Here is a 14,137-nt window from a genome sequence, read left to right on the forward strand (position 1 = left end):
TTTAATAGTGTAGTGGCAAGTTGTAGGGGGTGATGAAGTATTCTACAGTCTTATGATTAGGTCTCAGTGATTTGGTGAACCTGTGACCCTGAACTGTGAAATTCGCAAGTGCTTTTCGGCTTATTTTTTCATCTCTCTCCCCCTCTTAGGTGAGACAGGATGGCTGGAAGAGGCTGAAGTTGGGAATCTGCCTTCCTCCAGGTAGGTTCAACTATGCCAAATTTCAGTAGATTAGTCTCTGGTAAAATAGTTTCCTCTGAGGCCTTGTTAAAAAGAGTGCTCTGGCATATTTCAAAATGACTCCTTTCCCCTTCTCCCTGCTGGAAGCACTAGAGGATTTTTCTCTAATATTTGTTGTGAGAACCTGGTAAAACTTCTGGAAGGAAAATTCACAAAAATGTAGGCTTCCCCACATGACTGAGTCCCCCTCATATTTTCAGCTGTCAGAGTTTTCCATGCTGAGCCTCCAGGAGTTCCTCAATTACAGCTTGGATATCCCCGCTCGGTCACTGGTTCCTAGGGAGGTTTCTGCTCATGGGTTTTTATACCAGTACATTGTGGTTCTCTGTATCCAAATATCTGTATCTCCAATTTTGGGGGGCAGAAGTCTTCGCTGTGACCTCATTTCTTTGACAGATCTAAGAAGGTTTGATTTTTGAGTTTGTTCAGATTTTTTTTTTTTCTTTGAGACGGAGTTTTGATCTTGTTGCCCAGGCTGGAGTGCAGTGGTGCGATCTTGGCTCACTGCAACCTCCACCTTCTGGGTTCAAGCGATTCTCCTACCTCAGCCTCCTGAGAATCTGGGATAACAAGCATGCACCACCATGCCTGGCTAATTTTGTATTTTTAGTAGAGACGGGGTTTCACCATGTTGGTCAGGCTGGTCTCAAACTCCTGACCTCAGGTGATCTGGCCGCCTCAGCTTCCCAAAGGGCTGCAATTATAGGCATGAGCCACCACGTCTAGCCTGTTCAGCTTTTTAATTGTTGTTAGGATGAAGTGGAGATGTCTAAATTCCTTATATACCCAACTCTGACAACTTTATTAGAAAAGTTTACCATGAAAGGTGGCAGAGAAGCATGGCAACAGTAAAGAAAGATGTAGAGCCAAGAAATTGTTTTTTAATTGGGAAATATCAGAGCAGTTTTTATGGTGATGGAAATTACCCAGCAGAGAGGGAGACATTTATGATGCAGAAGAGAGAGAATATAAAAACAGGTGTTAAATCATCAAAGTCAGCAGAGAGTAAATGCAGAACACAGAAGGACTGAGCAACCAATGTTAAGAGCAGGAACATCTCTTCCGTTGTGTCTTGCAACAACAGAGAACACAGGCGTACTGCTAACACAAAAATACGGTGCTCATGTCTCATTCTATTTTCTTAATGAAGTATGAAGTGAGAACATTATCTGTCTGGGAAGTAAGGAGAGTTTCAGAAGTAGAAATAACACAGAGTTTCAGAGAGTGGGGCAAGCCAATTTACTAGAAAAAGTTACCAGGCAACAGTAAATGCCCATTTCCAGTTTTTGTTCTGGAATTTAAAGTTAGCTAACTGTAATATATAATATTCTTCTGCAGTCTTGTTTGGCTGTTTGAGTATAAGTGTGAAGAAAGTGAAGAGTAAGTGGGGGTTTGCTGAGTGCACACAACAGAGGAAGAGACTGCAAAGGGATTGAGAGTATTTGTAAGGCAGTGACTACCATGACTGACCGTAAGGAATAGGGTGACACATCATGAGAAAGAAGTAAGGTCAATAGATAAGTGACATGATGAGGTTGAAACATAGTTGACTAAGTGAGTCCATGGTCAGTAGGTAGGGTTTAGAGATTAGAATGCTAAAAGGTGATATTTGTGAAGTTATGCTACTGTTAGTGATGACAAGATCTGGATTTGAAGCCATTCAAAATTTCTTACTGTATGCAACAAATTGAGTTTGCCTACCTAAAGCAGAAAAGGCTGAGTAGCAGAAACAACGCAGTCAGGATGCTGACACTGCCACTGTATACTGCTAGGGCCTAGAACACAACCATGAATCTCATCCTTTGTCTTTTAGTTGCCCCCTGTAAGAGTCATATGCCCAAGCAGGTGAAACCTATTGTCTGAGCCCAGGTCATGTGCCTTTCCTTGCTCATTTTACCTAAGGGCAAAGAAAGTAAGGATATCCCTCAATTTGGCTTCCGTTGTAGCAGAAAGGGTTTGTGTCACCCCAAAGCTCACTCAGATAGCAGATTCCTTAAGACTAGGAAGGGGTCTAGACAGATATTGGCAGTAAATTTTTTTTAAGGTTAAAAAGTAAAAGATAAATGTCCTTTAAAAAAAATCATGGGAGTTTGTGAGGGACTAAGCTGAGATCAAGGAGATGACTGAAGATAAGGAGGTCACCATCATGAGGCCAGGCACTGTTTTATGTGCTGGTAAGACAAAACTGAACAAAAAGATCAAATCCCTGCACTTTTGGAGTTTACCTTCTCATGGAGATTGAGCCTCTTGGCTCTTTCCAACACCCTATGCTTCTGCTATTTCTTCAACTATAATAAGACAATAATATAATTTTAAGGATCTCTCTTGCTTCAACTCTCCTGCTTGCTAATCTCTGTAATTCTTTCAGCACACCTCTAGCTCTTTTCATTTACAATAATTAATAAAAGGCTTAAGATGCTAAATACTTGCTTGAGGTAAAAATAAGTAAACTTGTCTATTCTAAGTTATATCTAATAAGAAACAACAGTAGTAAATATACACAGTACTGAGCACTCTCCTACACTATGCTCTTTTCTTTATATACCTTACTTAGCTATCAAAACAAACCTATAACATAGGCACTATTATTATTTGTATTTTACAGATAAGGTGACTAAGGCACAGAAGGGTTTAAGTAACTCAGGTAGGAGATGGTGGGGCCAGGAAGTCTGGCTCTAGTAATGACTTGATTATAACAGCCTTTCCTCTTTTATTTTTAAACCAGAGAGGGGATCTGAGAGCAGGTAAACGCTAAAGGAAAAACAAGTCGCCAACCTACAGAAAGGGACAGACTAGTCTGAAAGTGCCCAAATGGAAGCTATGAGTATGTGTACAATGCTTAGCAGGGATAATATTGCTAAGAATTAACACTGCTTTGCTTGTTTTATAGTTTGGAGGAGACTTTGTTTGTTTTCAATACCAGCATCTAAAAGAAGAAAATAATAACAAGAAAGTTCTGGAGTAAAGTCCCTAAATGAGGAGAAGATAGGAGTACTGACAGTATCAGTTTGGAGCAGAATATAATAACTTTGGACCTTCCAGATAACCTGAACAAGGTAAACAACACCCCTTAGCAACACAACTTAGCAAGGCTTCTTCAGCTTCCTGGTTCAGGTTAGGAGATTTGGGAGTTGTCCTAGTAATCAGAGTATAGTTGAGGACCATTACTGTCCACAAGAAAAGTAATTTTCATGGGTAGGATTTGGCAACTCTTCTTGCCATCCCATCCCTGTGTAAGAGACAAAATAGCAATTCCCTACAATTTTACCTACTGCAGAAGCTATAAATGAATTCCTAAGTACATCCTGCAAAGAACTAAACCAAAGCCTGTTTTATCACAGCGTAGATGGCTTCCAGCTACCTTAAATGCAGCCATATGCTCCCTGATATTATAAGTCCTATTATGCAAGCCTCCTCCCCAATCTCAGAGGAGACTAGAAGACATGCCACTGCTGTTGCTTCCCATCCACATTTTAAAATAACAGAATAAAAGAAAAATCAGCTTCAATTGGCTCCAGTTGGTGTGAATAATGAGATGTGGTTGTCAGATTTCTGGAAAGCTGCCAGTATGGTCATTAACTAGCCAGATACTAGGCCCACTTACAAACACTTAATACAATTTTAAATAATGTCAATATTAATGACATTTTAAATTTGGGACTTGGGGATGGGATGAAACAATCTATGAATTAGAATCCTTCTTGCAGTAAGTGCTGTCTATAAGAAAGGGGATAGACTAGGATAAAGGGCGATGGAGCTTCCTCAGTTGTGGCAATCGAGCTTTGCCCAATTAAAATATGGTCTTTTTTTGAAGTCTATGATGGAAGCATCCTAGCTTTGACAAGTTGGCAGTAACCCTTGTGATCTATTTTGCTGGGATATATATTGTCACTGAAAAAATAAAACATATTACAAAACTGGAGAGCAAACCCTGCCTGTGATCATTAGACAGACTGGACCAAGTGCCTCAAGCCTTTGATGCCCTGACATGTTATTTTCTGGATAGTGTCCAGCAACCCAATGTAGCATAGCTTTTTCTCTACTGTATCCAGATGGCAAATGGAAGAGATCAAATTCAACAGTTTCAGGGCTAACCTTAATGGATGTGAAGGCTGGCTCCCCTATGAGCTTTTCAGGGATATACAATACAAAAAGGCCTTTGAACAAAGAGACAAATAATTAGTTTTCTCTCTCTTTCTTTCTCTCTTCAAAACTAAACCATGAATGTGGTAATCTGGTTCAAATCGATCTTCTGGTTGAAAAGGACAGCCAAATATCTGATGAGTTCTAATCACTGACACCCATGACACTTTCTGTGAAGTTCAGATGGGTGTTACTGTTAATATTCTGGAAAGCTTTTTTCTCTCCCTTCAGGCAAATATTTTTACTCTTCCACTATTTCCTTCAAAACATTAACCAAGTGTGTGTGTGTGTTCCCAAATGTTTAGGCAGCATTGTCTTATAGAAAGACTCTCACACCCTCACTAAAGGCTGATTTCAGAATTGACTAGCATAAGCATTATGCGTTTGCGCTATTGTGTAAGCATACACTAGACCTTCACTCTAAGTACATTTGTATAGTAAGGAATATGATATAAAGTCTGCTTCACTCTCCCAGACTTTACTTATTGAAGATTTGACTTTCTATCATACCAGAAATACCTAATTATTCACATAAAAGTCCTGTGGTATACAGCATAAGACCAGCTTTGTAGTTAGTAAGTGGAGTAAGTATAGTTAGTAAGTGGAGGAGGCAACAATGAGGAGGAGGGCTCAGCATTTGAAAGAAATAAATACGTTTACCTTCCAGGTTCTTCCGTAAAACAAAGATAAGTCAACTTAAAGTAGGAGTTGTTAGGGAGAAAAAAAGAATGGCAGGTAAGAGACAGGACTAATGTGCAGCTCCCACTTAGAAAGAACAGAACAGTGTCTGGAGACTCACATTGTGAACTTTGGCTCCAAGAACCATCGCAGGAATATACCAGGAAAACTGAAAAAATTCACAGACCCTTTGAAAGAAGTGGCTTTCTGCTGCAAATGCCACAAGATAGCCAAAAAACTGTGAGTTCCCAAAGTGTGAAAGGGGGAAAAAGCCTCTGAGCACACATCCTCACTGGGGAACCTAAAAATCCAGATCACGGGAGGATTTAACCATACTTAGAGCTGAAATGGATTTAGGGAGCTAAGTGAAATATAAAAGTACAAGTAGCAGAAAGAGCCCTGTAAGCATTCCCAGTCCTCAGCTCAAGCCCCAGGGAAGCCATTCCTCGCGTTATCTCACAGAGGTCCTTGGAGAAGGAAACGCAGCCAGTGGAACTGGGGAGAGGCCACAGGCTAAGGGAAGCTCCTAGCTGAACTCTGTAATAATTTCAACCGAGCACGAACTTCCCCGAGTAGAATCCAGGGCAGAGGAGTAGAGAGGAATGAACAGGAAGTGCAGATACAAACACAGAAGTCACAGCCAAAGGTTCAGGCAGGCAGGGAGGTAAGAACTGAGAGCCCTGCTTGCTTTCTCAGCTGGGAGGCTTTTAGGCTAAGGCAAGATCTCAGCCCTGCTCTCCTGCTGCCTGGATATAAACTCAGTGCAGTTAGGGAGGCACGGTGAAGGTGAGAATGGCCTTGCTGGCTGCATGGGAGTGGAGTGAGGCATGTCACTGCCAGCTTTCCCCCACTTGTCTGGTGACTTGTATGATACAGCAGAGGCAGCCATAATCTCCCTGGGAACATAACTCAATGGGCCTGAGAACCACCCCTCCATCCCCCATAGTGGCTGCAGCAAGCCCCACCTAAGGAGAGTCTGAGCTCAGACTTGCCTAACCCTGCACCCACCTGATGGTTTGTCTCTATCGGCCCTGGTAGCCAAAGACAAAAGACATAATCTCTTGGGAGCTCCATGGCCCTGCCCATCACCTGAGAAACCTGAGTACTCATCCTGGCCAATGTAGGGCAAGACTATATCCCCCTTCTACTATTGCAGCTGGCACTCTGTGCCACCTCTGGCTGGAGGCCAACCAATTCAACTAATAGCAGAACAACCCTGCTCCAAAGAAAGAGAAGACAACAGCTAATTCCACCCTGGCTAACCAGAGGTCCTGAGTCTGTTCACGTGACAACTTCACTGTGAGCATAACCAGTACTGAAGAAAACTGGTGCACTAAACGAAACTACAACCGAGGACTTCCAGAGAGTCCACTTCACTCCCCTGCCACCTCTACCAGAGCAGGTGCTGGTATCCACAGCTGGGAGAACTGAAGATGGGTCACATCACAGGACTCTTTACAGCACTAGCCTGGATCCTGGTAGCCCCACTGGGTAGCTAGACCCAGAAAAGCAATAACAATAACTGCAGTCTGGCTCTCAGGAAGCCCTATCCCTAGAGAAACGGGGAGAGCATCACATCAATGGACCACCCTGTGGGACCAAAGAACCTGAACAGCAGCCCTTGAGTTCCATATCTTTCCACTGAAACAGTCTACCCAAATGAGAAGGAACCAGAAAAGTAATTCTAGTAATGTGACAAAACAAGGTTCTATAACACCCACAAAAGATCACAGTAGCTCTTCAGCAATGGCTCTAAACCAAGTAGAAATCTCTGAATTGCCAGAAAAATAATTCAGAAGGTTGATTATTAAGCTAAGCAAAGAGGCACCAGAAAAAGGTGAAAACCAACTTAAATAAATTTAAAAAAATACAGGATATGGAGGAAAAAGTTCCCAGTTAAATAGATATGGTAAAGAAAAGACTATCACAACTTCTGGAAATAAAAGACACATTTAGAGAAAAGCAAAACACACTGAAAAGTATTAATAATAGAATTGAACAAGCAGAAGAAAAAACTTCAGAGCTCAAAGACAAAACTTTTGAATTAACCCAATCCAACAAAGACAAAGAAAAAAGAATTTTAAAAATGAACAAAGCCTCTAAGAAATGTGGGATTATGTTAAATGACCAAACCTAAGAGTAATTGGTGTTCTTGAGGAAGAAGAGCAATCTAAAAGTTATGCAAACTTATTTGAGGGAATAATCAAGTAAAACTTCCCTGGTCTTGCTAGAGATCTAGATATCCATATTTAAGAAACTCAAAGAACATCTGGGAAATTCATCACAAAAACATAATCACCTAGGCACATAGTCATCAGTTTATCTAAAGTCAAGATGAAGGAAAACATCTTAAGAGCTGTGAAGCAAAAGCATCAGGTAACTTATAAAGGAAAACCTATCAGATTAACAGCAGATTTCTCAGCAGAAACCCTGCAAGCCAGAAGGGATTGGGGTCCTATTTTTAGCCTCCTTAAACAAAATAATTATCAGCCAAGAATTTTACATCCAGCAAAACTAAGTTTCAGAAATGAAGGAGAGATAAAGCCATTTTCAGACAAACAACTGCTGAAAGAATTCACCAATCCCAAGCCAGCACTACAAGAACTGCTAAAAGGAGTCATAAATCTTGAAACAAAACCCCAAAATAGAACCTCCTTAAAGCATAAACATCACATGGCCTATAAAAAAGTAACACAATTTTTAAAAACCCAAGGTATTCAGGCAACAACTAGCATGATGAATAAAACAGTACCTCACATCTCAATACTAATGTTGAATGTAAATGGCCTAAATGCTCCACTTAAAAGATACAGAATGGGAGGATGGATAAGAATTCACCAACCAAGTATCTAGTGTCTTCAAGAGACTCACCTAACACGTAAAGACTCACATAAAGTAAAGGAGTGGAAAAAAGATATTCCATGCAAATGGACACCAAAAGTGAGCAGGGGTAGCTATTATATCAGACAAAACATACCTTAAAGTAACAACAGTTAAAAAAGACAAACAGAGACATTATATAATAAAAGGATTAGTCCAACAGGAAAATATCACAATCCTAAATATATATGCACCTAACACTGGAGCTCCCAAATTTATAGAACAATTATTACTACACCTAAGAAATGAGATAGACACAATAATAGTGGGGAACTTCAATATTCCACTGACAGCACTAGACAGGTCATCAAGACAGGAAGTCAACAATGAAAAAATGGACTTAAACTATACTTTAAAACAAACTGACTTAACAGATATTTATAGAACATTCTACCCAACAACTGCAGAATATACATTTTTTCATCAGCACATGGAACATCCTCCAAGATAGACCATATGATAGACCACAAAACACATCTCAATAAATTTAAGAGAATTGAAATTATATCAAGTACTCTCTCAGACCACAGTGGAATAATACTGGAAATTAACTCCAAAAGGAACCCTCAAAACTATACAAATACATGCAAATCAAATAATCTGTTACTGAATGATCCTTAGGTCAACAATGAAATAAAGATGGAAATTAAAAAATTATTTGAACTGTGAATGATAATAGCAGCACAACCAATCAAAACCTCTGGAATATAGCAAAAGCAGTGCTAAGAGAAAAGTTCACAGTAATAAATGCCTGCATCAAAAAGTCTGAAAGAACACAAATAGACAATCTAAGGTCACATTTCAAGGAACTAGAGAAAGAAGAACAAACCAAACCCAAACCCAGCAGAAGAAAAATAACAAAGATCAGAGCAGAACTAAATGAAATTGAAACAAACAAAAATACAAACGATAAATGAAACAAAAAGCTGGTTCTTTGAAAAGATAAACAAAATCGATACACATTAGTGAGATTAACCAAGAAGAAAGAAGATCCAAATAAGCTCAATTAGAAATGAAATGGGAGATATTACAACTGACACCACAGAAATACAAAAGACAATTCAAGACTACTATGAACACCTTTATGTGCATAAACTAGAAAACCTAGAGGAGATGGATAAATTCCTGGAAATATACAAACTTCCTAGATTAAACCAGGAAGAAACAAAAACTCTTAAAAAAAAATAACAAGTAATGAGATTGAAACAGTAATAAAAAACATTGCCAACAAAAAAAGGTGCAGGACCAGATGGATTCACAGCCGAATTCTATCAGACATTCAAAGAAGAATTAGTACCAATCCTACTGAAACTATTGCAAAAGATAAAGATGGAATCCTCCCTAAATCATTCTATGAAAACATCATTACCCTAATACCAAAACCAGGAAAGGACATAACAAAAAAAGAAAACTACAGACCAATATCCCTGATGAACATAGATGCAAAAATCTTCTATAGCTAACTGAATTCAACACAATATCAAAAAGATAATCGACCATGATCAAGTGGGTTTCATACCAGGGATGCAGGGTTGGTTTAACATACACAAGTAAATAAACGTAATGATATACCACACAAACAGAAATGAAAACAAAAATCATATGATCATCTCAACAGATGCAGAAAAAGCATTTGACAAAATCTAACATTCCTTTATGATTAAAACCCTTAGGAAAATTAGCATAGAAGGGATATATCTTATGGTAATAAAAGCCATCTATGACAAACCCACAGGCAACATTATACTGCATGGGGAAAGGTTGAAAGCATTTCCTCTGAGAACTGGAATAAGACAAGGATACCCACTTTCACCAATTCTATTCAACATAATACTGGAAGCCCTGGCCAGAGCAATCAGACAAGAGAAAGAAATAAAGGGCATCCAAATTGGTAACGAGGAAGTCAAACTGTTGCTCTTTGGCAATGATATGATCACATACCTAGAAAACCCAAAGATTCATCCAAAAAGGTCCTAGATCTAATAAATGAATTCTGTAAAGTTTCAGATACAAAATCAATGTACATAAATCAGTAGCACTGCTATACACCAATAGCAATCAAGCTGAGAATCAAATCAAGAACTCAACCCCTTTTACAACAGCTGCAATAAAATAAAATGCTTAGGAATATACCTAACCAAAGAGGTGAAAGAGCTCTACAAGGAAAACGTTGAAATACTGCTGAAGGAAATCATAGATGACACAAACAAATGGAAACACATCCCATGTTCATGAATGGGTAGAATCAATATTGTAAAAATGACCATACTGCCAAAAGCAATCTATAAATTCAATGCAATTCCCATCAAAATACCACCAACACTCTTCACAGAACTAGAAAAAACAATCCTAAAATTCATATGTAAGAAAAAAAAAGCCCACATAGCCAAAGCAAGACTAGGCAAAAAGAACAAATCTGGAGGCATCACATTACCCAGCTTCAAACTATACTACAAGGTTATAATTACCAAAACAGCACAGTACTAGTATAAAAACAGGCACGTAGTACAATGGAAAGGAATAGAGAACCCAGAAATAAAGCTTAATACTTACAGCCAACTGATCTTCAAGAAAGCAAACAAAATCATAAAGTGAGGAAAGGACACCCTATTCAACAAATGATGCTGGGATAATTGGCAAGCCACATATAGAATAACGAAACTGGATCCTCATCTCTCACCTTATACAAAAATCAACTCAAGATTGATCAAAGACTTAAATCTGAGACCTCAAACCTAAAAATTCTAGGAGATAACATCAGAAAAATTCTCCTAGATACTGGCCTAGGCAAAGAATTCATGAGCAAGTGCCCAAAAGCAAATGCAATGAAAACCAAGACAAATAGATGGGACTTAATTAAACTAAAAAGTGCCTGCACAGCAAAAACAATAATCAGCAGAGTAAACAGACAACTCACAGTATGGAAGAAAATCTTCAGAATCTATATACCTGACAAAGGACTAATATCCAGAATCTACAAAGAACTCAAACAAATCAGCAAGAAAAAAGCAATCAATCCCATCAAAAAGTGGGCTAAGGACATGAATAGACAATTCTCAAAAGAAGATATACAAACGGCCAACAAGCACATGGAAAAATGCTCAATATTACTAATTATCAGCTAAATGCAAATCAAAACCACAATGTGATACCACCTTACTCCTGCAAGAATGGCCATAATTTAAAAATCAAAAAGTAATAGATGTTGGCATGGATGTGGTGAGAAGGAACAGTTTTACACTGCTGGTAGGAATGTAAACTAGTACAACCACTATGGAAAACACTATGAAGATTCCTTAAAGAATTAAAAGTAGAATGACCATTCGATCCAGCAATCCCACTACTGGGTATTTGCCCAGAGGAAAATAAGTCATTATATGAAAAAGATATGTAGACACACATGTTTATAGCAGCACAATTCACAATTGCAAAAATATGGAACCAGCCTAAATGCCCATCAACCAAGTGGGTAAAGAAAGTGTGGCATATATACCATGGAATACTACTCAGCCATAAAAGGGAATTAAATAATGGCATTCACAGCAACCTGGATGAAGTTGGAGACCACTATTCTAAGTGAAGTAACTTATGAATGGGAAAATCAAACATAGTATGTTCTCACAAGTGGGAACTAAGCAACGAAGACACAATGGCATAAGAATGATAGAATGGACTCTGGGGACTTGGGGAAATGGGTGTGAGGCGGGTGATGGAGAAAAAAAAGAAAAGTAAGAGAAATTGAGAAGAAAAAATCAGCTCTCTGAGGATAGGAAAAAAATGTAGGAGTTCTTAACTTGGGTTTATTAACTTGTGAAACTGTATACAGTTTTGAGAATGCATATACGCATTTTTCAAGATAGAAGATCCACATTTTAATCAAAGGAAATAGTGACCACACCCTTCCTCATCAAAAAGTGTTAAGAACTCTGAGGACAAGACTTAATACACTTATAGAAACAAAGTTAGGCACATTAACATATCTAAAGAAAGAATATGTTCCCTTGAAGGGTGGAAACTTTAAAAAAGAAGCTCTACTGGGAAAACTCTGGCCTTGTGTTTTAAAGAACTGCCCAAGTCAATTGGCACTATGGCACAGGCCAGCAATGTGTTGCCCAAGGAACACGTGTGTCCCATACTGGAGATGGATCTTTGGGTAATGATAGCTTGATTACCCTAGCCAATGAGGTGCTTTAATGAACTCCCTTTGCTCTGATTCCATACCCATCAAGCTATCTTACTTAATAATTTGGCTTCCCAATTAAATCTGCCTGCAAGTAGAGACTATGTTAATCAGTGAAGAAAAGTAGTTGATACTCCTTATCATTCCATGTACATATAAGATATGTGTGTGTCAGGGAGGGGAGGGTGTTTTTGACTGTGTGCAAGAGCATGCACTTGTGTGCATGCAAACACACACACACACACACACGTTAATGTTAGTCTATAAAACATTTTCCTAACTTGGCTTCCAGCATGTTACCACTTCCTCCTCATCTTTTACCTATCTGGATAATACTATCTTGTCTGGTTCTCATCATCCCAACCTCTTAATGTTGGAATGTTCACAGGCTTAGTACTTGAACCACCCCTCCCCTCCCTCCTTCCCCTCCTCTCCTCTCTTCTCTTCTTTCTAAACCTACTGCACAGATAATTACACCCTATCTCAAGGCTTTCAGCACAGTCTATACTGAGAACTCTCAAATGTACATCTCCATCTATACCTCTCTCCTGAGCTTTGGTCTCACATATCTAACTGCCTACCTGACATTTCCACTTATATGTTCACGAAGCATCTAAACTCAATTTGCCTAAAACTTAACTCCTGATAACCCCTGATCTTCCCTCCCAAAATCGTGTTACTGTTGCATTATTTTGTGTCTCAGTAAATTGCAAATTCATTCTTCCAGTTGCTCTGGCCAGAAACTTTGGAATCATCATTGACTCTTTTGTTTCTTTCATCCTCCATCTAATTAGTCAGAAAATCTTATTTGCTCTACCTTTAAAATAAATATCCATGGCCAGGTATGGTGGCTCATGCCTGTAATCCCAACACTTTGGGAGGCCAAGGTGGGCAGATCACTTGAGCTCAGGATTTCGAGACCAGCCTGACCAACATAGTGAAACCCTGTCTCTACTAAAAATACAAAAATTAGCCAGGTATGGTGTGCGCCTGTAGTCCCAGCTACTTGGAATGCTGAGGCAGGAGAATCGCTTGAACCCAGGAAGTGGAGGTTGCAGTGAGCCGAGATAGTGCCACTGCACTCCAGCCTGGGTGACAGAGTGAGGCTCTGTCTCAAAAATTGGAATGAAATGAAATGAAATGAAATGACATGAAATAAAATATAAAAATAAAATAAATATCCAGAACCTGATCATGCCTCATGAAACCATCTTCACCACTCACCGTAGTCCAAGCCACCATCATCTCTTGCTTGAATCCTGTAGCCTCTTACTTGGTCTCCTTGCTTCTATTCTTGTTCCTCTATATTCTATTTTTAACATGATAACCAGAGTGAGACTTTAAAACTTACATCAGATCAGGTTATTCTCCCACACAAAACCTTCCCATGACTTCCCAGTTTAATCCCAGAAAAAGCCAAAGTCTTTACAATTTATTCTAAGGTACTATACAACTGACCTCCCCACGTCCACCCTCCTGTTAGCCATGTGACTTCGTATACTATTACTATAATAAACAGCATAATGCAAACCACCCCAAGGTTAAGGCCCTGGCTCTTCACCGTTGTTAGCTGTGTGCATTCTGTTGCTTGTGTGACAAGTTACTTAACATCTGTTTCACAGATTCTCATCTGTACTGTCTTATAGGGCTGTTACAAGAATTAAATGAGTTAATGCTTGTGAAGTATTTAGAAAAGTATCCAACACATAGTAAGTGCTATATAGTATTTGTTACAGAAAATGCTCACTCTCCTGCAGCCATACTGGCCTCTATGCTGGTCTTCAAACATGACAGTTTAGCCCCCACCTCATGGCTTTTCCATTCTTCTTTCCTCTTCCTGGCATCCTCTTCCCTCAGATGTCTACTTTGTACATGTTCTCACCACCTTCAGGTCTTCCATTAAAAGTCACCTTCTTGGGGTCCTCTGCTGACCACCTAATTTACAACTGTGATACCCTTTGGCAGTCCCCACCTCCTGATTCCTGCTTTGTTTTGTTTTATTCTCCATATCACTAT

At 39.2% G+C, this 14,137-nt stretch overlaps 1 protein-coding gene across 12 annotated transcripts in view; it reads right to left on the bottom strand.

The window, feature by feature from the left end:
• The window catches only part of WARS2 (tryptophanyl tRNA synthetase 2, mitochondrial), a 109,457-nt gene that overhangs the window by 80,038 nt on the left and 15,282 nt on the right, over positions 1-14,137 (bottom strand). For 3 of the 12 annotated variants that reach the window (NM_001378226.1, NM_001378227.1, XM_024449826.2), the window contains one exon: positions 13,346-13,430. The exons of the other annotated variants lie outside the window; for them this stretch is intronic. In NM_001378226.1, coding sequence (NP_001365155.1) covers positions 13,346-13,366 — 21 coding nt within the window. In that variant the 5' untranslated portion in view covers positions 13,367-13,430. The remainder of the gene's footprint in view (positions 1-13,345; positions 13,431-14,137) is intronic. 12 annotated transcript variants of the gene reach the window in all.

The sequence above is a fragment of the Homo sapiens genome, chromosome 1 (genome assembly GCF_000001405.40).
Source record: "Homo sapiens chromosome 1, GRCh38.p14 Primary Assembly".
In the NCBI taxonomy this organism is placed as follows: domain Eukaryota; kingdom Metazoa; phylum Chordata; class Mammalia; order Primates; family Hominidae; genus Homo; species Homo sapiens.